At 38.7% G+C, this 25,725-nt stretch overlaps 1 protein-coding gene and 1 long non-coding RNA gene across 14 annotated transcripts in view, besides 1 other annotated feature; one reads left to right on the top strand and one right to left on the bottom strand.

Moving 5' to 3' along the window:
- The window catches only part of DNAH5-AS1 (DNAH5 antisense RNA 1), a 40,614-nt gene extending 23,647 nt beyond the window's left edge, over positions 1-16,967 (bottom strand). The window contains exon 1 of the long non-coding RNA NR_199035.1: positions 16,851-16,967. This is a non-coding gene — a long non-coding RNA (DNAH5 antisense RNA 1). The remainder of the gene's footprint in view (positions 1-16,850) is intronic.
- The window catches only part of DNAH5 (dynein axonemal heavy chain 5), a 321,491-nt gene that overhangs the window by 134,413 nt on the left and 161,353 nt on the right, over positions 1-25,725 (top strand). For 12 of the 13 annotated variants that reach the window (XR_001742034.2, XR_001742035.2, XM_017009177.2 and 9 more), the window contains 9 exons: positions 589-722; positions 5,641-5,842; positions 6,404-6,639; positions 9,414-9,632; positions 11,124-11,186; positions 11,500-11,738; positions 12,769-13,009; positions 14,659-14,858; positions 17,801-17,954. Coding sequence is in view for 11 of the 13 variants with exons in the window: in XM_017009177.2 (XP_016864666.1) it covers positions 589-722; positions 5,641-5,842; positions 6,404-6,639; positions 9,414-9,632; positions 11,124-11,186; positions 11,500-11,738; positions 12,769-13,009; positions 14,659-14,858; positions 17,801-17,954 (1,688 nt within the window). In the remaining 2 variants the exon portion in view is untranslated. Of the gene's footprint in view, positions 1-588; positions 723-5,640; positions 5,843-6,403; positions 6,640-9,413; positions 9,633-11,123; positions 11,187-11,499; positions 11,739-12,768; positions 13,010-14,658; positions 14,859-16,383; positions 16,601-17,800; positions 17,955-25,725 lie in introns of those variants that run through there. The other variant, XM_017009185.1, reaches the window with a different exon arrangement.
- Positions 17,340-18,539: an enhancer, noted in NCBI's record as "MED14-independent group 3 enhancer chr5:13858976-13860175 (GRCh37/hg19 assembly coordinates)". NCBI's record gives its function as "activates an origin of replication core promoter dependent on BRD2, BRD4, P300/CBP and CDK7 cofactors, and independent of MED14, by STARR-seq in HCT116 cells {active_cell/tissue: HCT116}" and the evidence as "EXISTENCE:reporter gene assay evidence [ECO:0000049][PMID:35650434]".

Here is a 25,725-nt window from a genome sequence, read left to right as displayed (position 1 = left end):
CATTGCCTCAGGTAGCTGTGAAGTTAAGCAATTGTTGCTGATAGTCTTTTGACAAATGCCATGAGGATAGGACTTTTTTTCTCAGAGAGCTCTGAGTCAGGTCAAATAAAAATAAACTGTTTGAACAGGGCTTTTCCAGGGAGCTCCCAGACAGCTCAAAGAGTGAGAATTCTATGGAGCTCCCTAAGGAGCTCCAAGCCCAGGCTGGCCCTTCCAGGGACTGCTAGGCTACTGGTAGGTTTTTTTCCTCCAGTTATAATGGTTGTAAGGCTGCTGTTTTTCAAGGCTACCCTATAGCCAGAGAGCGGCAGTGGGACTAGAGCAAGTCAAAACACCACAAAACTTGCTGTTGTTACCAAGATTTAGCATTGTTCTTGAATAAACACTTTTTGGATTATTGCAAGCTTTGATTAATTTACAGAGTCCTGAAAAGTTGACATTGACAACTCTTTCCATTATTTTCATTGTTTTTATAAAGGAGAAGATTTTCAGAAGTCCTTGCTTTACTATCACAGAAATATCCTCATCTCCTGAAAGTACATTCTTGTGTGAGTAGTGTAAAGTTTTCTCTTCTTTTTTTCTTTTTAGATACCTTGGAGATAGCATCTGTAAATTTACCCATTCCCGTGCAAACCAAGAACTATTATAAGAATGTTTCTGAAAACAAAGAGATTGTAAAATTAGTTTCTGTGCTTAGCACAATTATCAACTCCACCAAAAAGGTATGTCAAGAGGGTCTGGCAGCCGGACCTTTTGCTTTGCAACATGCACTTGTGTGAAAGTGAACATCACAAAGTTGTCCTTTATGTAGCCTGGGTCTCACACACTGTGCTTTCAGGGAGCATCTTGTATGTGCTCAGCAAATGTTTGTCTAACTGAAGATCTTTCATTCTAGATTGCAAGGTGAAAAAAAATTATTCCTACTCTCATATTGTGTTTTGTTTAATGCTTTTAATATATTCTTTTAATACAAATGAATCTAACTTAAAAAATCTAATATGTTCCAAACTACAAGTCAGACTGTTGTTATAATTCACCTTCAAAGAACCAGTGATACTAACATATTTGAAATAGAATAAGGTTTGTAGTCATTTTTTCATATTTGAGTAGTCGGGCAAATGTTATAAAATATCAGATAAAAATTTATTTATATTGCCACATAGAAATTAGATGAAACTGAGAATAAAGAAGATATTAGTACTATCAATACAAACTTGAACTGGACATGAATGTACATTCAAGGCAATTTTTTCTTTCAGCATACTCCCCTCTCAACTTCCCCTTTTTTGTTCATGCAAATCTATTTTACAGACAAAAAGATTTAAAACCCTGAAATCATCTTTTATTTTTTAAAAAAACTCTTCTAATTCACATGGCCAGTAAGACTTGTTGACTTGTTAATAATGTTTCCCAGTGTTTAAGGAATAGTTGTTGCTCAGTAAGTGCATTTTTTCTATTACTCAGTTTTGATACAATGAGTTACGTTCATTTGAAAGCACTCTGAAAAGCTACCATTGCTGTAACAATGTGAGGAAATATTATTAAGTTTAGTTTTAATGTGTTCCCAAGGGAACTGGAAATCTTTTGCATTTATGGACTTTTAATTTTCCTTTCTTAATATATTGAAGGTCCTGTATTTAATTTTCCCCTAGAGACAGTATTCAGGTAACTCAATAAATATTTATCTAGTACTTAGATTATTAAGCTCTATACTGAATGATAAGCAAAGTATTTCATGATAACAATAAACATTCAGAAATATTTTCAAGTGTCTCAGTATTCCTAGAAAATAAAAGAAAATAAATCAGCAATAAGATCCACTAGTTTCTCTAGTATGATCAACCACTATTATGAAAATCTAAGAGGAAGAAATCATAGTTAACATACAGTGCTGGCCACAAAATACTTATCTCTGTGTCTTTTTTTTTTTTTTTTTTTTTGAAGGAGTTTCACTCTTGCTGCCTAGGCTGGAGTGCAATGGTGCAATCTTGGCTCACTGCAACCTCTGCATCCCAGGTTCAAGCGATTCTCCTGTCTCAGCCTCCTGAGTAGCTGGGATTAGAGGCATGCACCACCACACTGGGCTAATTTTGTATTTTTAGTAGAGACAGGGTTTTACCATGTTGGTCAAGCTGGTCTCAAACTCCTGACCTCAGGTGATCCACCTGCCTTGGCCTCCCAAAGTGCTGGGATTACAGTCGTGAGCCACCGTGCCCGGCCTCTGTGTCACTTTTATTGCATTTGCTTTTACTTTATATGAAGGAAATGCTCAGATATTAGTTTTCCTTAAAATAGTAGAAAAGGTTGGCATTTATAACAACTTGAAGAACTTATTCCAGATTTATAGGATAGCCAAATTGTTTCTGGGAGAATATATGTACACTTAGTCATAGTATTAGATATAGCCAGCCCTCCACAGCCATAGACCTTTCTGAATGATTCTGCCTCAACCACAGAAAGTCCTATGATCCCTGCCCCTTTCCTGTTGCTATAGCTGATTGGATTAGAATGTAAACCTGACCTGCCTTTAGCATGCCCATAGGTTGGTCATCAACTTCTAACACAACCTGGCTTAAAAGGATGAGCTGAGGCTGGATGTAGTGGCCCATGTCTGTAATGTCAGCACTTTGAGAGGCCAAGGTGGGGGATCACTTGAGGCTGGGAGTTTGAGACCAGCCTAGCCAATATGGTAAAACTATGTTTCCACTAAAAACACAAAAATTAGCTAGGCATGGTGGCAGATGTCTATAATCCCAGCTACTCATTAGGCTGAGGCATAAGATTTGCCTGAATCTAGAAGGCAGAGGTTGCAGTGAGCTGAGATGGTGCCACTGCACTCTAGCCTGGGTGACAGAGCGGGACTTTGTCTCGAAAAAAAAAATATAGAAACGTTGAGCTGGACCAAACAATCAAAATAACCTTGGTTACATAATCAGAACAACTCTACATATGTAGTTCATCTAATTTTCCTACTGAGGTCATTTTCCTTTCAAGGTCTAGGTTACCTTCATGTGAAAAAGTTCCAATTTAATAAAGACAGACACTTTAAAAGAATACCCTCCAACATATTTAGTTAGGGTATATTCTTAATATTATAAGCTTGGGTGGTGAGAGAGCTCTGGATTCTGGAACTTCTATCCATTTCTGGGAATCTTCAATAATCTGTAATTAATTCTTCAAACCATCATACATATGTGAATATGTCTACATGCTATTGCAATGCATTCTTGGTCTGCATGTCAACACTTCAGGTCATGCAAACGAATCATTTGTGGTTGGGATAGGCAGTGATAGGTTTAGCTTTCTGCATTTTAATGGATGGGAAGTATCAACATCCATTGAACCTGAGGCTCGGAGGGACATTTTAGCTGTATGTGGGGAGCTGGAGTGGAACTGCTTCTTGGTTTGGTGCAGCTTGGTGCAATTTACTTAAAATAATCAGACCATTTAGAATCCTGTAATGCTCAGTTATTTCAGATAATTGCACTGTTTATTCTTTATCAGCTAAATTTGTTTTTCATGCAGATGTAACTCTGAAATCATAATATAAGGCAGTGGAAAAACTTGATTCACAAAGGAATTAGAAATGAAGAGACAAATTTTTTGGCTAGGCGCCGTGGCTCATGTTTGTAATCTCAGCACTTTAGGAGGCCGAGATGAGAGGATCACTTGAAGCCAGGAGTTTGAGACCAGCTTGGGTAACACAGTGAGATCTCGTCTCTACAAAAATAAATAAATAAATAAATAGTAATTAAATAAAAAAAGACAAAATTTTAATTATTTGTAGATGATACAATTGTCTGCCAAGTAAATCCAAGAGGCTAATCTAAAAAAGAAATTGTGGCCCAACAAGAGTTAAGTTAGTCACCAATGGAAAGATAATTATATGAATTTTTCATAGAATACAATAAACATGTTCCTGAAAATCGTCCTGTTTTGAGAAGTTGCATATTTAATATTAAATAATAGGGATGATGAGAAAAACAAGATTGAGGCAGACACAAAATCTAGGCAATTTGTAACCAGGGTAATAAATAAAACAATAATAATCATAGTAAAATAGTAACAGTAACAATCTTAGTGAAATATTCACATATTTAATAACACTATAGTAATTACAGAACTTTACTATAAAAGATGAAAGAAGCTTGGTAGAAGTGGGAAAAGGAAGAGATTGTGGAGGCATAGAAGCAAAGATAAACTCTACAAAAATCAGGCCAAACTCTACAAAGAACATTCTTTCTTTGTTGTTCTTTCTGCTTTGATTGGTATTTATTTATTTATCTATTTTTATTTGTACAAATTTATAGGATACATGTGCAATTGTGCTGTATGTATAGATTGCATAGTGGCCAAGTCAGGGATTTTAGGGTATCCATCACCCAAATAATGTACATTGTATCTGTTAGTGAATTTCTCATAGCCCTCCCTTCTGAAGTTGATGAGAAATCTGACTCTTCTGAGTCTCTATTATCTATCATTCTGCTCTGTATGTCCATGCAAACACTTTTTTTTTTAGCACTAACTTATGAGTGAGAACCATATGCAAAGATATTCTTAAGACAGGTGGTAGCCAAATCAATCCAAAAGGAAGAAGTGATGGAGGGGGAGTGGCACACAGGACTGTACTCCTCTGTGACTTGCTGCTTTAGCTGGTACAAAGCAGTAGCATTTGTTTTGCTGGGAAAAATAGCATTTGAAAACATGACCTCTGCATTATGTCAGCACTGTCCCCTATTTACCAATTGCCAGAGAGTCATTTCATCTTTACAGATGCATACTTGGTTAGCAAACTAGACTGTTGATTTACAAATAAATTTAAAAAAATGTATATGCCATTCATAGCCAGTTATAATAATAGTGGAAAATATCTTGTTTACAATGACAACAGCATTGAAAAATACCTAGAAACATGTATAATAAGAAGTATCTGGGGTCTCTATGAAGATTATGCTAAAACTTAAGGAATTTTTGAAAAAGATGACAAGATATGGAAACATGCACTATGTTCCTGGTTGGTTAGATGTAGTATTGTTCAGATGTCAATTCTAGTTATATGAATTATACATTTTATGTGATTCCAGGCAATCTCTCATTGAAGTGATGCTCGCTATTTTCTGTTTGTCCTTCATGCCCCTAAGATCTAATCTCCATTCCCTCCACCTATCTGACCTTAGGCAACATGTCAGTAGATTCCCATTGAGGCTTCCAGTGGGTTCAGTCAATGAAGAATCTTGGAGGAGATCTGAGGGGAGGGGGGAAAGAGGAGAATGACCTCAGAGTATGTTTTTCATAGCACCTTCCCTGTAGTGTGAGCTTGAGCTGTGGTTTTTGATCTAAGGCCCAGCTCCAACCAAGAGGGCCCTGTCCACAGGATCTTCAAGAACTGTCATCTAGTTTCTAGAAACTGCTCCTCTCCCATTTAGCTAGGGATGATAACAGTGAAACTGTTACTAGCCCTGGGCTACTGTCCACACTATTGTATATAGTCCCAGTTCTTTGGCATTTCCAGATAATCACACAGTTCACTAAACATTTTAATAAATCCATAGGAACCACCAGCAGTTGGTAAATATTCACTTATATCATTGTGCCTTTCAGATTCTTCCTTCTTAACATAAATCTGTTATTTGCATTCAGGAAGTTATTACATCCATGGATTGCTTCAAACGCTACAATCACATTTGGCAAAAGGGAAAAGAAGAAGCCATTAAGACATTTATTACACAGAGCCCCTTGCTTTCTGAATTTGAGTCCCAGATTCTCTATTTCCAAAACCTAGAGCAGGAAATTAATGCTGAGCCTGAATATGTCTGTGTGGGTTCCATTGCTCTGTACACAGGTTGGTTCATTTTCTTTCATATAGTTATATAAATTAGCCATTATTGTTCTGCCTCTTTACCTAGATTTGTATTCCAGAGAGTTCTACCTGTCTTAAAGATTGACTTTATGGGCCTCAAGCTTTAAAACCAATTTGTGGATTTTTAAAAAATTTTCTTCTGCATAATTATTGATTCTGGACTATTTTGCACACTTTGCTGCTAAACCTTGAAAAAAAGACTAAGTCAGAGAAAGGAGATGTCTGTTATATTTTGAATTAAAATTTACCCTTTGTTTAATAAATAACAATAACAAACCTTTGAGGCTTATCCCAGAGAGTTCTGATATGTGCTTTTTTAAAAAAACATTTTGAAATGTGTGTTGAGTTGTTGTAAAAACAAACTTTAAAAAATGAATGAATATATAATGAGTAGGAAAAATTATGATTTTTTCCAGTTCAATTTTTTGTGGGTTAGAGGGCAATAAGCTATAAAATATTTACTACTGGAGAACAGCGACAGTTTGACTTTTCGTACTGATTCGAGTTTTTAAAACTGAACTGTAGACATTTGGGTTTTTACAGCTGACTTGAAGTTCGCCCTGACTGCTGAGACAAAGGCCTGGATGGTTGTCATTGGACGCCACTGTAACAAAAAATACCGGAGTGAGATGGAAAACATTTTTATGCTTATTGAAGAATTCAATAAGAAACTAAATCGTCCAATTAAGGACCTAGATGATATTCGGATTGCAATGGCAGCGCTGAAAGAAATAAGGGAGGAGCAAATCTCCATTGACTTTCAAGTAGGACCTATTGAGGTAACTAATGATCATTTGTTCATTATAGAAATATTTCTACATGTTGGATGCTATTAGCTGAAATATTGACTGGGTCTGGAGTGAAGTTACTAAATGGTTACTAAACCAAGACAATAATTTCAATATTGTTGATGATACCGAACCCCTATAGCATTGCCTTCCATGGGCCAGTTTTCACCTTCACATGTCGCCTAAGGTCCTTCAAAGCAGAGCCTGAGATAAAGATTTCTGTGCAAATGATTTATTGGTGAGTGCTCACCAAAGAAGAGGGGCGAGGGAATCAGGAAAGGAAGTCAATCAGCTATGGACTAACTTCAGCCTGATCCCATGGGCACTCTACAACATCAATTGAGTTGGGCCCTCCTTCATGCAAAGGAGACTACCCTTTCTACTCCTAAGTCAGTAGGAAATGGGCTATAACCTCCCCATGAGAAGGCTCACATTCAGCTGAGAAAAATCTTCCAGGGAAGGGACAGCTGCAGTCCTTATAGCCAGCACTCTCAGTAGTCGGGGATGGGAATACCAGCTGGTAATCGGGACCTGGATGGGGCGTTAACAGTGTCCATATATGCAGTAACTCATTTCATCCTTACTATGGCTCCTACTCCTCACATAAGGAAACTGAGGGTCGAAGAAATTATGTAATTTGATCAGTGTTGCACATCACTTTTATTTGTATACCATATCATACTATCTTTTCCAGATGAAAATGTCTTTTTTTTGCAGTGAAGTCTGCTTTTATTTACTTATTAGTTATAATATTATCAACATACATAGTGTAATTTAAGCAATGGCAAAAAAGACAGTTGATTTCATTACAAGCAGACACCCTTGAATAGATTCACTTGAGTAAACATCATCTCTTTCTAAGGAGTCTCCTTAGAAATCTCATGTTAGGCCACCAGCAAAATCAGTCTTAGCAACAGCCTTTTTTTTAAAACAAACAAACAAACAAACAAACTCTTTTTTCCCTAATTAAAAAGTAGCATTGTAGAAAAATTAGAAAACACAAAACGATTGTATAAAACAAAACTTCAGAATTACCATAATATTGTCAATCAAGTACATACCAAGAGGTTGGTATATTTCTTTCCAGCTCCTTTTAATGTCTGTGTATGTGTGTGTAATTTTGAATTCCATTTTTATTCATCTTGTAATATTTATATCATCATTAGAAATGAGTAAGAGTGTGAATTATTAATATCATTAATAACTTTCCATAATCATAATTGTTGGTGCATGTCTTTAAATCTTATTTGCCACTTGTGATTGTTGACAAAGACCCAAGAGTGGAGACGTTAAGGAAAAGCACTTCTCAGCCATGGAGGCACCGTGGGGTCAGGGGGTGCTGTTAACCTCCAGATGAAAATGTCTTATCAGAAGTGGGTCACTATATTTGTTATTTTTAAATGAGACTAGTTTAATTGTAGCATTAAAAAAAACTCCAGTTGTAAAATCATCATCTTTTCATCACACTATAACTGGAATGTCTGGGCTTATACTCTGATGGTCGAGATCAGACTCTATTCTCCCATTTTCTGCATCCCTGTTTGAATTTTGAAAATTTTCACATTACCATGAGAATGGTACAGACTACTACACATTTTCACTTCTGCTGTGTTGGGCCAGGGGGATCACATGGTCCAACCTGCTCTCCTTGGGTTGAAACATCAAGGCAAAGAGACATTTCTTTGTGCAGGATCAGGGGATACCCTCAAGTATGAAGAGGAGGTACAGTAACTGACAATCCTATTTTCTCCCACCTAGGAATTAAGAACAAAAGTAGAATCAAGTAGACAAGATCAAAACATCACCTTTATGCCTGATGGAAGTTATTCGGAAGACATAACTTAGTGTATTACTCCAGTTATTCCCCTCCCTTTCATACCCCCAGACACACACACACACATTATGAGCTAGTGAACACTAAATCCCAGGATTATTATACTTCCTCATCCATCAGAGGCAGTGTTGGAAAGCTGTAGGTCTTGGTATTACCCTGATCCAGTTTATGGCACTGAGGTGCTGACCACAGGCATGCCTCCACGGAGAGGGAGGGAAGAGAGAGAAAGGCACTGGGCTATCCTTGCTCAGATCAACAATGTTTTCCCCCAAATTAATAATCAGGCACTCATTCCACCTCTATGGGGAGGAGTAATGGTGGGAGAAGAGACTAGAGATATTTAGAGAAAATTCTTTCTTATGAAAACCAACCTTAGCCTCATTTTAACCTTTTAGAGAAGAAAGCCATCCAGGATTTTACATGCTGAAGGGAATGACTTGGCCCAGGCTCTGATTCAAGAATCCTCCCTTGTGTCTTACTATTGGAACCTCTTATCGATCACGTGAAATAAGACAGAGTTAAAACCCTGATTGATTTTGTTATTCTAATATTAGAAGTTAAATTATTTTGTTTTTTATTTACTTGATAGAATTTTGTAGTGATCAAATACAATTTGGGGGCCTAAGTAAAAATATCTTTTATTTGTCTAATGGTTTATGGTTTTCAAAATGCATTTAAAATGACATTTTTCAATAGTCTCAAAGATCCTGTGAAGTAGCCAGAAGATTTTCCCATTTTATAGATGAGGAAACTATAGCTGAACAGCTCAGTTGCACAGTTAACCTCTTGCGGTTTGAAGTAGAATAACTAGAACTCTCAGGGTAGTTTCACTATTATTCTGGTATTTTCCATTCTTATCATTTAATAAATGGCTGTGTGTAGATTTATGCATCTGACTGGCCAAAATTAAGTTTTTCCTATTTTTTTTTAGGAATCTTATGCCCTGCTTAACAGATATGGACTTCTGATAGCAAGGGAAGAGATAGACAAAGTTGATACACTGCACTATGCTTGGGAGAAGCTGCTGGCACGTGCTGGCGAAGTCCAGAATAAATTAGTCTCACTGCAGCCCAGTTTCAAGAAAGAGCTTATTAGTGCTGTGGAGGTATTCCTCCAAGATTGTCACCAGTTTTATCTGGACTATGATTTGGTATGTCTCTGGCTTTCTCTGTGTGCGTTTTCGGGGATGAGTGAATACAACATGCAAAATGTAGTTGTCTAAAAATTATGGGTAAATTTCTGTGAAACTTCCTAGGAATTCCCAGGGAATGGGAATTTTATTTTCATGAGAGAAAAACATTTTTTTTCACAATTCTTTCCCCTTAGAGTTTCTATTAGTCTGTTTTCACACTGCTATAAAGAACTGCTCGAGACTGGGTAATTTAGAAAGGAGAGAGGTTTAATTGACTCACAGTTCAGCATGGCTTGGGAGGCCTCACGAAACTTACAATCATGGTGGAAGGCAAAGGGGAAGCAAGGCACCTTCTTCACAAGGCAACAGGAAGGAGAATGCTGAGCGAAGAGGGAAGAGCTCCTTTTAAAACCATCGGATCTCATGAGAACTCACTACTGAGAGAACAGCATGGGGAAAACCGCTCCCATGATTCAGTTACCTCCACCTAGTCTCTCCCTTGAGACGTGGGGATTATGGAGATTATGGGGATTACAATTCAAGATGAGATTTGGGTGGGGATGGAAAGCCTAACCAAATCGGATTTCATACATAATAATTTCAACAGAAAATGATAAATTTAAAAGGGCTAACAGTGTATAATTTGGTCTGTTACTGAAGTTGTTTGGTAGCATTCTAAATTTGTGTAGAAAAGTACTATTCGCATGCAGTTATAATTGTCCTCCTTTCCACAGCGTTCCTTGGTTACACAAATAACACAGAGCTCAGCAATTGCCGGGCGCTGTCCTTGGTGCTGACTACACAGTAGTGGATAAGACAGATCAAGCCTTGCCCCCACGGAGTCCATATTTTAATTATCCATATAGGTTTAAGTACTGAATCTTCTAATGTAAATATGTTGTGTAATGAGACCCATCTCCAGGCAATTATAATATGCTGGAGAAGGGAAATATATAGAGTTTAGGGTAAAATTTGTACCCATTAACTAGTAGCACAATAAACCACAAAATTAATCAAGTTAGAAGATTGGACCCATGTACCAACGCCATGGATGAAGAAGCACAGAAATCCACATATTTAAGATTTTCTAATGTTGGAAAATCTGATTGGAATGTTAAGATTATAGGCCACTTTACAAGTGGGTATTAGAATGATAAAAATCTATGAGTTATATGATATTAGCATTTAGCTGAAAAGCAGACTTTATATGTGCTTCTTATAGAACAGGCATTGACTCCTCTTTCCCTGTGTTACCTAAGAAATGAATAATACATATTTTTAATCTTAAAAGTTTCTTGACTAAGGGAAGTTCTGGCATTAATTTGGCTTTTTTAGACTAGAAACATATGTCTAAATGAATCACTTTGTGAGGCCCTTTTTTTCTAACAAATAAAAATGAAGTTTCCTATCATGCATGAAACCTAACTTTAATATTTAAATATGGATTGAGTTCATGAAATTTATATGCAAACACTTCCTTCTATTTTTCTTTTTTTACTTTTTGTTCAGAATGGTCCAATGGCTAGCGGCTTGAAGCCCCAGGAAGCCAGTGACAGGCTTATCATGTTTCAGGTAATCTTTTTAGTTTCTATGACTTTCTAAACAATGAAACTTTGTTGTGTTTTAAACACACATATGTTTTCTTCTTTGTAAGATAGAGGGCCCTATTGTGGAATATGGTATGTACTTGCATTAAAAATACGATATTGTAGGATTACAATTAGAAGTAGTTTCTATGAATTAATTATGCCAACTTAGTATTCCTATTTACATGTGCCCAGAGATCATACATCTCTGGCTTGCTTGTTTGCAAATCTTATATTTTCATTTGTATGTTGATCATGTATAAATCATTTTGATGCGTTTTCACTTGTGTTTTTATTAGAATCAATTTGATAATATCTATCGGAAATACATCACATATACTGGAGGAGAGGAGCTTTTTGGCCTGCCAGCTACACAGTATCCTCAGCTTCTTGAAATAAAGAAGCAACTAAATCTTCTACAGAAAATATATACTCTGTACAACAGTGTCATAGAAACTGTAAATAGCTATTATGATATTCTTTGGTCAGAGGTGAATATTGAAAAAATTAACAATGAACTCTTAGAATTCCAGAACAGGTAAGAAATTAAATGTTTAGCATGCCCAGCAATTGAACTTCAAATGCTTTCCTCTTTGATAGGCAGCCAAGTTCTCTTTTCACCCCAGCTATTTCAAAAGCACATCTTGCTGCATTGTTCTTGTCCATTGACATCACTCTTGTCAAATGCTATTTATTAATTACTCCTGTGTGTACACAATGAGACAAGCACATTCTGTCTATCAGGATGAGTCATGTTAGGGGCTTTTCTGCAGCTTGGTGGGAGCTGATTTTTATTTATATTACACTTATGAAACATTTGAAGTTAATGTCAGATTATCATCTGGAACAAAAGCAGGGGCCCATGATTTTTCTGTATTGTTGTAGCTCTTGAATTTAAAGAAAATGGAGAGCTGGCTGGGTGCAGTAGCTCATGCCTGTAATCCCAGCACTTTGGGAGGCTGAGGTGGGCAGATCACGAGGTCAGGAGATTGAGACTATCCTGGCCAACATGGTGAAACCCCATCTCTATTAAAAATACAAAAATTAGCTGGGCATGGCGGCACGTACCTGTAATCCCAGCTACTCGGGAGGCTGAGGCAGGAGAATCGCTTGAACCCAGGAGGTGGAGGTTGCAGTGGGCGGAGATTGCACCACTGCACAGAGCTATACTCCGTCTCAAAAAAAAAAAAAAAAAAAAAGAGCTATTTGTTGCATATTTCACTTCACAGCCTGATACACTTTGCTATGCTTTGTGCTTAGTAAGTTCTCAGTACATGTTTGTAGAATTGAATTAGCTTGAGCAGCACCTCTACGCTCTAAAATAATGCCTCTAACTAGGTAATAGTTGTGAAGGGTTGGAAAAAATCTTTTCTAATGGAGAGGACAATTTTCTGTAATATAAAAGTCATCTGTATATTATATGAACAGACAGCCTGCAAGTCATGGGATTTAAAATAGGATAAGTATTCAAAGAGACTGTTTTTAATAGAAATACTAGCAGACCGTCTTGGTCCAGTGATGTCTACCATCATATTTCAATGGCCTTTCATGTTGGTGTCCCTTCACAGATGTCGAAAGCTTCCCCGGGCCTTGAAGGACTGGCAGGCTTTTTTGGACCTGAAGAAGATCATTGATGATTTCAGCGAGTGTTGCCCGCTGCTGGAATACATGGCCAGTAAAGCCATGATGGAGCGGCACTGGGAAAGGATAACCACCCTCACCGGGCACAGTCTGGATGTGGGGAATGAAAGCTTTAAGTTAAGAAATATCATGGAGGCACCTCTTCTGAAATATAAAGAGGAAATAGAGGTAGAGTATGATGTGATGGAAGATTGCAAGGTCTCATGGGATTTATTTGATAACATTTCTATATTATGGAATATTGGATCAGTAAACTACACTCAGACAATTGAAACTCTTCTCCTGGCATTCAGCCACTAGTTCCTTCAACAAATGCTTATTTGGCCTAAGATGGGACAGATTCTGCATCAGGATATAACAATGCAGTCCTGCATTTACAGATTATTAAATAATTTTACAAATAAAGGCACAGTTATAAGCTGTGGCAAATACCATTGAATAAAATGTATGTTGTTCTGTGAAAGCCTATGGTAGATGAGTTTGGTTCACCTGGGGGTGATAAAGCTAGGGAGGACTAGGATGCATGCGTAGGACTGGCTGGGTGAAGGGAGTGTGGTTGTGTGGTTGGGGTGAGGGGCTTGGAAAGTGCAAAGAAGGCCATTCCAGGCAGATGGTGCATTATGCATGGAGCATCTGAAGTGTGTTTGAGGAACCAGAAGAAGGCCCATGTGGCTGAGGCGTGGAGGCAGGGCAGAGAGGAGACAGCAGAGGCCAGGGAGGTGGAGTGGGCCTACATGATGTTATCGAGCAATGGGCACCAGCTGGGAGGTGTGTTTTCAGCAGGGGCTGACATGGTTAGGTTGACCGTTTGTAAGGATCACTCTGGTAGTGATCTTTGGAGAAATAATTGAAGGAGGACAAGGGAAGAATGATGGAAAAACCAACTGAGAGTTTCTAAGAGTAGCTCAGGCAAGAAATGATGGCTTGTTAGATGAGAGGGGAAGTAGTAAAGCTGGAGAGGAGAGAAAGGATCAGGGATATTTGAGGAGAATTCGGTGATGAAGGGAACATGGTAGGAGAAGGAAGGGGAGGGCTAAAGATGAACTCTAGATTTCTTGCTGAGAGACCTAAGTGGATGAAGGTGCTGACCACAGAGATGGGGAACATGGGAAGGTGATCAGATTGGGTGACAAGGTGCAAAGATCATGGTCTTGATTAGGGACATGAGTCTGATATTTCACAGACTGTGTTTGGGGTTTCCTTGAAACATCTCAGCAGGGAAGTTCAGTAGGCAAATGGATGTGGGTCTTGCCTGGAGATATGAAAGTGATTGAAGTCATGGGTGTAAATGAGCTCACCCAGAGGGGGAACATAGGTGGGAAGAAATGAGGGTAAAGGAAGGGCTTGACTAATGGTCTAGGAGAAGGTTGAGGCCATGAGGAGACTGGGAAAGTCAACAGAGCCATGGGAGAATCAGGTTTCTGCTACCTGTGTTCATTCACATGCTGCATTCACTTGACTTTAGAGGTAGATCAGAAATACATTGAATTTTGAATCAGTGATTAAAGTTTCAAAATTTAAAAGTGATTTGCATATATTTTCTGTCATCTTTCCTTTTGGGCAAGTTTGCTGGGAAATTTTATAAATTAAAGTTCTATTTTTCAGTCATATCTTTATCTCCATCTCTCTTCATGCATCAGTATCTGCGTATACACCTTCTGTTTATTATATTGCATTTTAGGTCTGGAAATATAAAAGTTTATATATATATTTATATATATATGAAGCAAATAGTGAAGATGGGGTATTGCACGTAGACTATTAAGGAAGGACGTGTGACTTTCATGCAATAACATGAGAGCTTGCCATTTTGATAGGACATCTGTATCAGTGCGGTGAAAGAGAGAGACATTGAGCAAAAGCTGAAGCAAGTGATTAATGAATGGGACAATAAAACATTCACCTTCGGCAGCTTTAAAACCCGTGGAGAGCTCCTCTTGAGAGGAGACAGTACCTCGGAAATCATCGCCAACATGGAGGACAGCTTGATGTTGCTGGGATCCCTACTGAGCAACAGGTGGGAAAACCATCTATCTTTTCCCTTAGATTTGAGAACCGTAATAGCAAACATTTAAAATTAATGAAAAATCCATTACAATAATAGCCTTCATATAGTTTACTCAATGTTGAAAATACTTGTTTTAATTACATTGATTAATTAATTTTTATATCCAAAACATATTTTTACTCAGGTACCCACTTATATATACATCATCAAGAGATTATATTTCAATTATTCTTGTTTTCATTTTGGCCTCAGGCACATGTTAGAGCATGTGTAACTCTGGTTTTATTTCATTATCCTCTATTTGTGGGGTATGTCTGAGACCATCCACTGGACAAAATAATGCAACGTATAATTAGCCACTCGGCTCTTGGGAACATTTCAGCTTGCTGCTGACAAGCCTGACTGCACAGCTCATAGCTCTACAGGCTGTAGAATCCAGGAGGAACATTATTTTGAATTTCAGAATAATCATTTTACTCGAAAAACCTTTTTTACCAATATCTGTGGACTAGAAACTCTTAGTTGTTTACATACTCTATTTTTTATATTTGTACAAATTTATGGGGTACATTTGAACTTGTTTTTTTTTTTTTTTTTTTTTTTTGAGATGGAATCTTGCTTTGTCACCCAGGCTGGAGTGCAATGGCGTGATCTCAGCTCACTGAAACCTCAGCCTCCCTGGCTCAAGTGATTCTGCCGCAGCTTCCTGAGTACTGGGATTACAGGCAACAGCCACCACGCCTGGCTAATTTTTGTATTTTTAGTAGAGACAGGGTTTCACCATGTTGGCCAGGCTGGTCTCAAACTCCTGGTCTCAGGTGATCTGCCCGCCTTGGCCTCCCAAAATGCTGGCATTACAGGCATGAGCCACTGTGCCTGTCCACATGTGAACTTTCATTACATGTATATAATGCATAGTGGCCACCCCTCACATTTTGGACATACAAACCACACAGTCATGAATTTACATTTCCTTGTTTCATTGCTTCCATTTGCTCTTTCTGAAATAATGTTTTTGTTCCCCAGAATCTTCTCAAATATATGGTAATTGTGCAGAAAGTGGATACCATTGAGATATGAATTTGTTGTTCTATTCTAGCTTTAAAATATCACCCAATTCTCCATATATATGTGTATCAATACTTTTAATGTTGGAAATACTGTGTACTTCATACTATTTCAAAAAAATTTCTCTTATTTCAGTTTACTTGTTACACTAAAGTAATATTGGGATATAAAGTTAGACCATTAGTAATCTTGAGTTTGGACTTCTCAGGATTTAGTGAGTTTTAATGAACTTGGTTACTATTCATACCAAACCAGAATAAAGGATAGACAGGCAATAATATACCCTAGGGAGATAGAAAAGACACTCATGTAAATTAAGTAAAAATTATCTGGTTGGGGTGGGGAAACTTTTCTTTTCAATGGCATCTAATCTACAGATAGAGTTATTGGGAGGAGTATTTTTTCAATATATATTTATTGAACCTTTACTATGTGTGTGATGTACTCTTCTAGGCGCTGTGGGTAGAACAACAAATAAGGGAAAGATCTCTGTTTCTATGGACCTATATTTCTAGTGAAGAGCATACAAATATTCAGAAAGATGCATGGAATATTAAAACAATTTGGTTAACAATTAAGAATATGGAAATTAAACTTTTATGCAATAATACGACTTCAAGTCCATATTATGTAGGGCTAGAGAGAACCATGAAGGGATAAGAAAGAGAAGAAGAGACACAAAGGTAGGCTGTATAATCATTTAGGATTAAGTTTGTCTGTAAATAACAGAAACACCACATACAAAATGGCTAATATAACACTGATGTTTATATTGCTCACGCATAAAAGAATTCCTAATGTAGGTGGTTCAGGTTGGAATGGGGGCTTTACCACATCATCAGGGACCCAAGCTTGGTCTGGCTCACTCATCTGTCTTTCCCAGGTGTGACCTTATTCCCCATACTACCCATTACATCCAATGCCACTACTCACATTTCATGTAGAAGAGTTGTTCTCAATCTTTGCAACGTACCAGATACACTGAAGGAACTTAAAAAAATCCCAATGCCAGGGCCACTTCCCAGACCCATTGAATCAGAGTCTCTGTACGTAGGACCCAGGCAGGCATCAGTAATTTTTAATGCTGGCGAGATGATTCCAGTGTTCAGCTATGAGATCATTCCAGTGTTCCGCTAAATTAAGCACTGTTGATGTGGAACTTAGTCTTCTGACTGCACATTACTGCAAAGGGAAGCTGGGAAATTCAGTAATTTAGCTGGGTAATTATGAGCCCACATGGAAAAGCAGAAGGAAAAAAGGACATTGGGAGGCCACCCACAGGCAGTCTGTCTCAAAGAGGAAAAGGGGAAGACAGATTAACTATGGAAGAGGCAGTAATCTTGCACACATGTACATCAAACATGAGTGGGTTGGACACAGGTGCGTGGGAAGTTAGAAAGAGACTCAGAAAAGGGGAGGCTAAGGAGAGAGTCCAGGTGTTATCATATTTGAAGATTGAATTAGTTGTCTGGTCCCCACTGATGGTTCTATAAAAGCTCCATATTATATGAAAAACCAGAGACTCCATGAAATAGGCACAGAAGCTCAGTAGGGCAAATATTATTCTCGTAGCCATAGCAGCACTGAGGGTAATTATATTACCCTGGAAGCTTGGTGGAATCAAGTCTAATGCCTGATCTACTCCTTAGATTATAAATCTCCCACCCTTCTCTATGCTCTGGATCAAAAGGGAAAAAGCTAGACTAACAATGAACAGTAAGTGGGGATGAATTAATCACTTGGTTGCATCACTTTAAAAGCCAGCAACATAATTAAGGTTGTAAAGAAAGCGGTTAAAAATTAAGATTTTTAAAAACCTTTTTAATTTGAAACAACAGCACAACAAAAACAAAACCAAACCCTAAACCTATTTCTTATTTTAGGTACAATATGCCATTCAAAGCCCAGATTCAAAAATGGGTGCAGTACCTTTCCAACTCAACAGACATCATCGAGAGCTGGATGACGGTGCAAAACCTGTGGATTTATTTAGAAGCTGTCTTTGTGGGAGGAGACATTGCCAAGCAGCTGCCCAAGGTTTTGTAATCTTCTTTATGATTTCATCAGATTTTTCAGAGAAAGCTCTCAGAGCGATTACCCCCTTAAATAATGCAATAATATTCCACTTCTATTGAACCCCCTTCCTTCAATCTTTTTGTTGTCACTGTTAATGCTGTTATTCTTCAAAGGGAGTGAGGAATTGTGGAAAGGAAAGGGGTGACAATCAGAGTAAGAATGCTGTAAAACTGTGGAGGTTTGATAGGAGATAGAGGGTTAAAAAAACAAAAAATAAGTGGTCGCATAATTGATATGCTTCTTTAGATAATTTCAAGGTAGAATTTGGAACAGTGTAGAATTATGGTGCAGTTATCTTGACAATGGTAGGCTAAGTTTTTCTACTACAGACATTTTAAAGTAATGCATACTATACAATGTACCCAATTATATCTGTACAGTAAAATTGAGGGGTGGAAATGTGCAGAAAAAATCTCCAAAACAAAAAGACCTTCTTTTCAAGATGTCAAGTATATATTTATCATCAAATCGTAATCATCTTACTGGGTATATATGGAGTATATTTTGAGATTTTTAAATGAACATTTTAACCAATTCTCAAGGATTCTTATTCAATTACCTTAAGTCGTATGCAAGATTATAACATTTTAACAATATATTTCAGTTTTAGAAGCATGATTATTTTAAATGTTTTCATCACATAGGTTTCTGAACTTCTTTTTTGGTTAGTTTTCAGTTTAATTACAGATGACAGATAAAATCAGACTGCAGACCATTTATTTTGGAGGCAATAGTGAAATGTATTCACTCACTAAAATTTTACTTTATTTTTGATTTGTATTTGTGCATGTTTTTCATCTTCTTTTCTTAAAGGTTTTAAGTAGGAGGTTTGGATTTTTTTTTTAAATTATATTTAAGTTCTGGGATACATGTGCAGAATGTGCAGGTTTGTTACATAGGAATACAGGTGCCATGGTGGTTTGCTGGACCCAGCAACCTGTCATCTACATTAGGTATTTCTCCTAATGCTATCCCTCCCCTTGCCCCACACCCCCTGACAGGCCCCAGTGTGTGATGTTCCCCTCCCTGTGCCCATATGTTCTCATTGTTCAACTCCCACTTATGAGTGAGAACATGCAGTGTTTGGTTTTCCATTCCTGTGCTAGTTTTCTGAGAATGATGGTTTCTAGCTTCATCCATGTCCCTGCAAAGGACATGGATTCCTCCTTTTTTGTGGCTGCATAGTATTCCATGGTGTATATGTGCTACATTTTCTTTATCCAGTATAACATTGATGGGCATTTGGGTTGGTTCCAAGTCTTTCCTTTTGTGAACAGTGTTGCAATAAACATACGTGTGCATATGTCTTTATAGTAGATTGATTTATAGTCCTTTGGGTATATACACAGTAATGGGATTGCTGGGTCAAGTGGCATTTCTAGTTCTAGCTCCTTGAGGAATCACCACACTGTTTTGGCTTTTGTTGCAATTGCTTTTGGTGTTTTAGTCATTAAGTCTTTGCCCATGCCTATGTCCTGAATGTTATTGCCTAGGTTATCTTCTAGGGTTTTATGGTTTTACGTCTTATGTTTAGATCTTTAATCCACCATGAGTTAATTTTTGTATAAGGTGTAAGGAAGGGGTCCAGTTTCAGTTTTCTGCATATGGCTAGCCAGTTTTCCCAACATCATTTAATAAATAGGGAATCCTTTCCCTATTGCTTGTTTTGTCAGGTTTGTCGAATATCAGATGTTTGTAGATGTGTGGTGTTATTTCTGAAGCTTCTGTTCTGTTCCCTTGGTCTATATATCTGTTTTGGTACCAGTACCATGCTGTTTTGGTTACGGTAGCCTTGAAGTATAGTTTGAAATCAGGTAGCGTGATACCTCCAGCTCTGTTCTTTTTGCTTAGGATTGTCTTGGCTATATGGACTCTTTTTTGTTTCCATATGAAATTTAAAGTAGTTTTTTCTAATTCTTTGAAGAAAGTCAATGGTAGCTTGATGGGAATAGCATTGAATCTATAAATTACTTTGTGCAGTATAGCCATTTTTATGATATTGATTCTTCCTATCCATGAGCATGGAATGTTCTTCCATTTGTTTGTGTCCTCTGTTATTTCCTTGAGCAGTGGTTTGTAGTTCTCCTTGAAGAGGTCCTTCACATCCCTTGTAAATTGGATTCCTAGGTATTTTATTATCTTTGTAGCAATTGTGAATGGGAGTTCACTAACGATTTGGCTCTCTGTTTGTCTATTATTGGTGTGTAGGAATGCTTGTGATTTTTGCACATTGATTTTGTATCCTGAGACTTTGCTGAAGTTGCTTATCAGCTTAAGGAGTTTTGGGGCTGAGACAATGGGGTTTTCTAGATATACAATCATGTCATCTGCAAACAGAGATAATTTGACTTCCTCTTTTCCTATTTGAATACCCTTTATTTCTTTCTCTTGCCTGATTGCCCTGGCCAGAACTACCAATACTATGTTGGATAGGAGTGGTGAGAGAGGGCATCCTTGTCTTGTGTCGGTTTTCAAAAGGAATGCTTCCAGCTTTTGCCTATTCAGTATGATATTGGCTGTGGATTTGTCATAAATCGCTCTTATTATTTTGAGTTGTGTTTCATCAATACTTAGTTTATTGAGAGTTTTTAGCATGAAAGGATGTTCAATTTTATCAAAGGCCTTTTCTGCATCTATTGAGATAATCATGTGGTTTTTTCATTGGTTCTGTTTATGTGAGGTATTATGTTTATTTGCATATGTTGAACCAGCGTTACATCCCAGGGATGAAGCTGACTTGATTGTGGTGGATAACCTTTTTAATGTGCTGTTTGATTCGGTTTGCTTGTATTTTATTGAAGATTTTTGCATTGATGTTCATAAGAGATATTGGCCTAAATTTTCTTTTTTTGTTGTGTCTCTGCCAGGTTTTGGTATGAGGATGATGCTGGCCTCATAAAATGAGTTAGGGAGGAGTCCCTCTTTTTCTATTGTTCGGAATAGTTTTAAGAGGAATGGTACCAGCTGCTCTTTGAACCTCTGGTAGAATTTCTAGAAGAAATTTATCCATTTCTTCTAGATTTTCTAGTTTATTTGTATAGAGGTGTTTATAGTATTCTCTGATGGCAGTTTGTATTTCTGTGGGATCAGTGGCGATATCCCCTTTATCATTTTTTATTGTATCTATTTGATTCTTCTCTCTTTTCTTCTTTAGTAGTCTGGCTAGCAGTCTATCTGTTTTGTTGATCTTTTCAAAAAACCAGCTCCTGGATTCATTGATTTTTTTGAAGGGTTTTTCATGTCTCTATCTCCTTCGGTTCTGCTCTGATCTTAGTTATGTCTTGTCTTCTGCTAGCTTTTGAATTTGTTTGCTCTTGATTCTCTAGTTCTTTTAATTGTGATGTTAGAGTGTTGATTTTAGATCTTTTCCACTTTCTCCTGTGGGCAGTTAGTGCTATAAATTTCCCTCTAAACAGTGCTTTAGCTGTGTCCCAGAAATTCTGGTATACTGTGTCTTTGTTCTCATTGGTTTCAAAGAACTTATTTATTTCTGCCTTAATTTCATTATTTACCCAGTAGGCATTCAGGAGCTGGTTGTTCAGTTTCCATGTAGTTGTGCAATTTTGAGTGAGTTTCTTAATCTTGAGTTCTAATTTGATTGCACTGTGGTCTGAGAGACTGTTTTTTATGATTTGCATTCTTTTGCATTTGCTGAGGAGTGTTTTACTTCCAATTATGTGGTCGATATTAGAATAAGTATGATGTGGTGCTGAGAAGATTGTATATTCTGTTGATTTGGGGTGGAGAGTTCTGTAGATGTCTGTTAGGTCCGCTTGGTCCAGAGCTGAGTTCAAGTCCTGAATATCCTTGTTAATTTTCTGTCACATTGATCTGACTAATATTGAGAGTGGGGTGTTAAAGTCTCCCACTATTGAAGAGTATGGGCATTAAAATGTAAGATTTATGGCCGGGCGCGGTGGCTCACGCCTGTAATCCCAGCACTTTGGGAGGCCGAGGCGGGCGGATCACGAGGTCAGGAGATCGAGACCATCCCGGCTAAAACGGTGAAACCCCGTCTCTACTAAAAATACAAAAAATTAGCCGGGCGTAGTGGCGGGCGCCTGTAGTCCCAGCTACTTGGGAGGCTGAGGCAGGAGAATGGCGTGAACCCGGGAGGCGGAGCTTGCAGTGAGCCGAGATCCCGCCACTGCACTCCAGCCTGGGCGACAGAGCGAGACTCCGTCTCAAAAAAAAAAAAAAAAAAAAAATGTAAGATTTATGATGAAAATCTATGTGGAGTGGTTCTTGTTAGTTTACTTTTCATATTGAGTGATGCATGAGGTAGGTGTTCAGAGTAATATTCTGCATCATAGTGAGAGAGAAGCATTTTTTATTTTACTTAAAATTAAGTTAAATGTAATTAAATTACTAGTGAATCATTTTACTGATTGTACTTTTATGCTATAAAATGCAGTACATTTGAAAATTTTTAGGTTATGTGTAAGCTTAATTTTGTAATTAAACATTTCTTTAACATGTTAAAAAAAGTCTCCCACTATTATTGTGTGGGATTCTAAGTCTCTTTGTAGGTCTCTAAGAACTTGCTTTATGAACCTGGGTGCTCCTGTTTCGGGTGCATATACATTTAGGATAGTTAGCTCTTCTCATTGCGTTGATCCCTTTACCATTATGTAATACCCTTCTTTGTCTTTTTTGATCTTTGTTGGTTTAAAGTCTGTCTTATCAGAGAGTAGGATTGCAACCCCTGCTTTTTCTTTGCTTTCCATTTGCTTGGTAAATATTCCTCTATCCCTTTATTTTGAGCCTATGTGTGTCTTTGCACGTGAGATGGGTCTCCTGAATACAGCACACTGATGGATCTTGACTCTATTAAATTTGCCAGTCTGTGTCTTTTAATTGGGGCATTTACCCCGTTTACATTTAAGGTTAATATTGTTATGTATGAATTTGATCCTGTCATTATGATGCTAGCTGGTTATTTTGTCCATTAGTTGATGCAGTTTCTTCATAATATCAATGGTCTTTACATTTTGGTTTGTTTTTGCAGTGGCTGGTTCTGGTTTTTCCTTTCTGTATTTAGTGCTTCCTTCAGGAGCTCTTGTAAGGCAGGCCTGGTGCTGACAAAGTCCCTCATCACTTGCTTGTCTTTAAAGGATTTTATTTCTCCTTCATTTATGAAGCTTAGTTTGGCTGGATATGAAATTCTGGGCTGAAAATTCTTTTAAGAATGTTGAATATTGGCCCCCACTCTCTTATGGCTTGTAGGGTTTCTGCAGAGAGATCCACTGTTAGTCTAATGGGCTTCCCTTTGTGGGTAACCCGACATTTCTCTCTGGCTGCCTTTAATATTTTTTCCTTCATTTCAACCTTGGTGAATCTGATGATTATGTGTTTTGGGGTTGCTCTTCTTGAGGAGAATCTTCATGGTGTTCTCTGTATTTCCTGAATTTGAATGTTGGCCTGTCTTGCTTGGTTGGGGAAGTTCTCCTGGATAATATCCTGAAGAGTGTTTTCTAACTTGGATCCATTCTCCCCATCACTTTTAGGTACATCGATCAAATGTAGGTTTGGTCTTTTCACATAGTCTCATATTTCTTGGAGGCTTTGTTCATTCCTTTTCATTATTTTTTCTCTAATCTTGTCTTCACGCTTTATTTCATTACATTGATCTTCAATCTCTGATATCCTTTCTTCTGCTTGATCAATTTGGGTATTGATACTTCTGTATGCTTCACGAAATTCTTGTGCTGTGTTTTTCAGTTCCATCAGGTCATTTATGTTCTTCTCTAAATTGGTTATTCTAGTTAGCAATTTCTCTAACCTTTTATCAAGGTTCTCAGCTTCCTTATATTGGGTTAGAACATGCTCCTTTAGCTTGGAGGAGTTTGTTATTACCCACCTTCTGAAGCCTACTTCTGTCAATTCGTCAAACTCATTCTCTGTCCAGTTTTGTTCCCTTGCTGGCGAGGAGTTGTTATCCTTTGGAGGAGAAGAGGCATTCTGGTTTTTGGAATTTTCAGTCTTTTTGTGCTGGTTTTTCCTCATCTTCGTGTATTTATCTACCATTGGTCTTTGCTGTTGGTGACCTTCGGATGGAGTTTTTGTGTGGTCGTCCTTTTAGTTGATGGTGATGCTATTGCTTCCTGTTTGTTAGTGTTCCTCTAACAGACAGGCCCGTCTTCTGCAGGTCTTCTGGAGTTTGCTGGGGTTCCAATCCAGACCCTGTTTGCCTGGGTATCACCAGCGGAGGCTGCAGAACAGCAAAGATTGCTGCCTGCTCCTTCCTCTGGAAGCTTTGTCTGAGAGGGGCACCTGCCAGATGTCAGCTGAAGCTCTCCTGTATGAGGTGTCTGTTGGCCCCTGCTGGGAAGTGTCTCCCTGTCAGGAAGCACGGGGTCAGGGACCCACTTGAGGAGGCAGTCTGTCCCTTAGCAGAGCTCGAGCCCTGTGCTGGGAGATCTGCTGCTCTCTTCAGAGCTGGCAGGCAGGAATGTTTAAGTCTTCTGACGCTGTACCCCACAGCTGCCCCTTCCCCCAGGCGCTCTGTCCCAGGGAGATGAGAGTTTTATCTATAAGCCTTGACTGAGGCTGCTGCCTTTTTTTCAGAGATGCCCTGCACAGAGAGGAGGAATCTAGAGAGGCAGTCTGGCTACAGCAGCTTTGTGGTGCTGCAGTGGGCTCTGCCCAGTCTGAACTTCTTTGCGGCTTTGTTAACACTGTGAGGGAAAAACCGCCTACTCAAGCCTCAGTAATGGTGGACCCCCCTCCCCCCACCAAGCTGGAGCATTCCCGGTCGACTTCAGACTGCTGTGCTGCCAGTGAGAATTTCAAGCCAGTGGATCTTAGCTTGCTGGGTTCTGTGGGGATGGGATCCACTGAGCAAGACCACCTGGCTACCTGGCTTCAGCCCCCTTTCCAGGGGAGTGAATGGTTCTGCCTCAGTGGCATCCCAGGTGCCACTAGGGTACGAAAAAAAAAATAAACTGGCTGGGCGTGGTGGCTCACGCCTGTAATCCCAGCAATTTGGGAGGCTGAGGTGGGCAGATTACCTGAGGTCGGGAGTTCGAGACCAGCCTGACCAACATGGAGAAACCCCATCTCTACTAAAAATACAAAATTAGCCAGGCATGGTGGCACATGCCTGTAATCCCAGCTTCTCAGGAGGCTGAGGCAGGAGAATCGCTTGAACCTGGGAGGCGGAGGTTGCAGTGAGCTGAGATCACACCGTTGCACTCCAGCCTGGGCAAAAAGAGCGAAACTCCATCACAGAAACAAAAAACAAAAAAAACTGCAGCTAGCTCAGTGTCTACCCAAACGGCCACCGAATTTTGTGCTTGAAACCCAGGCCCTTGTGGGGTAGGCACCTGAGGGAATCTCCTGGTCTGCAGATGGGGAAAGCATAGTATCTGGGCCAGATAGCAGTGTCCCTCACAGCATGGTACCTCATGGCTTCCCTTGGCTCGGGGGAGAGTTCCCCAAACCTTTTCACTTCTCAGGTGAGGCAACGCCCCACCCCGCTTCTACTTGCCCTCCGTGGGCTGCACCCACTGTCTGACCAGTCCCAATGAGATGAGCCAGGTACCTCAGCTGGAAATGCAGAAATAATCTGCCTTCTGTGTTGATCTTGCTGGGAGCTGCAGGGTGGAACTATTCCTATTCGGCCATCTTGCCCAGGATTCCCATGTTTTTCTTTTTAATGGATGAAGAAGAATCTAAAATTGGACTTAGAAATTTTCATGTAGAATATTTAAGGTGCTAGGTGTTGTTTCTT

The sequence above is a fragment of the Homo sapiens genome, chromosome 5, assembly GCF_000001405.40.
Source record: "Homo sapiens chromosome 5, GRCh38.p14 Primary Assembly".
Taxonomy (NCBI): Eukaryota; Metazoa; Chordata; class Mammalia; order Primates; family Hominidae; genus Homo; species Homo sapiens.
This window is presented reverse-complemented; position numbering and strand designations above follow the sequence as displayed.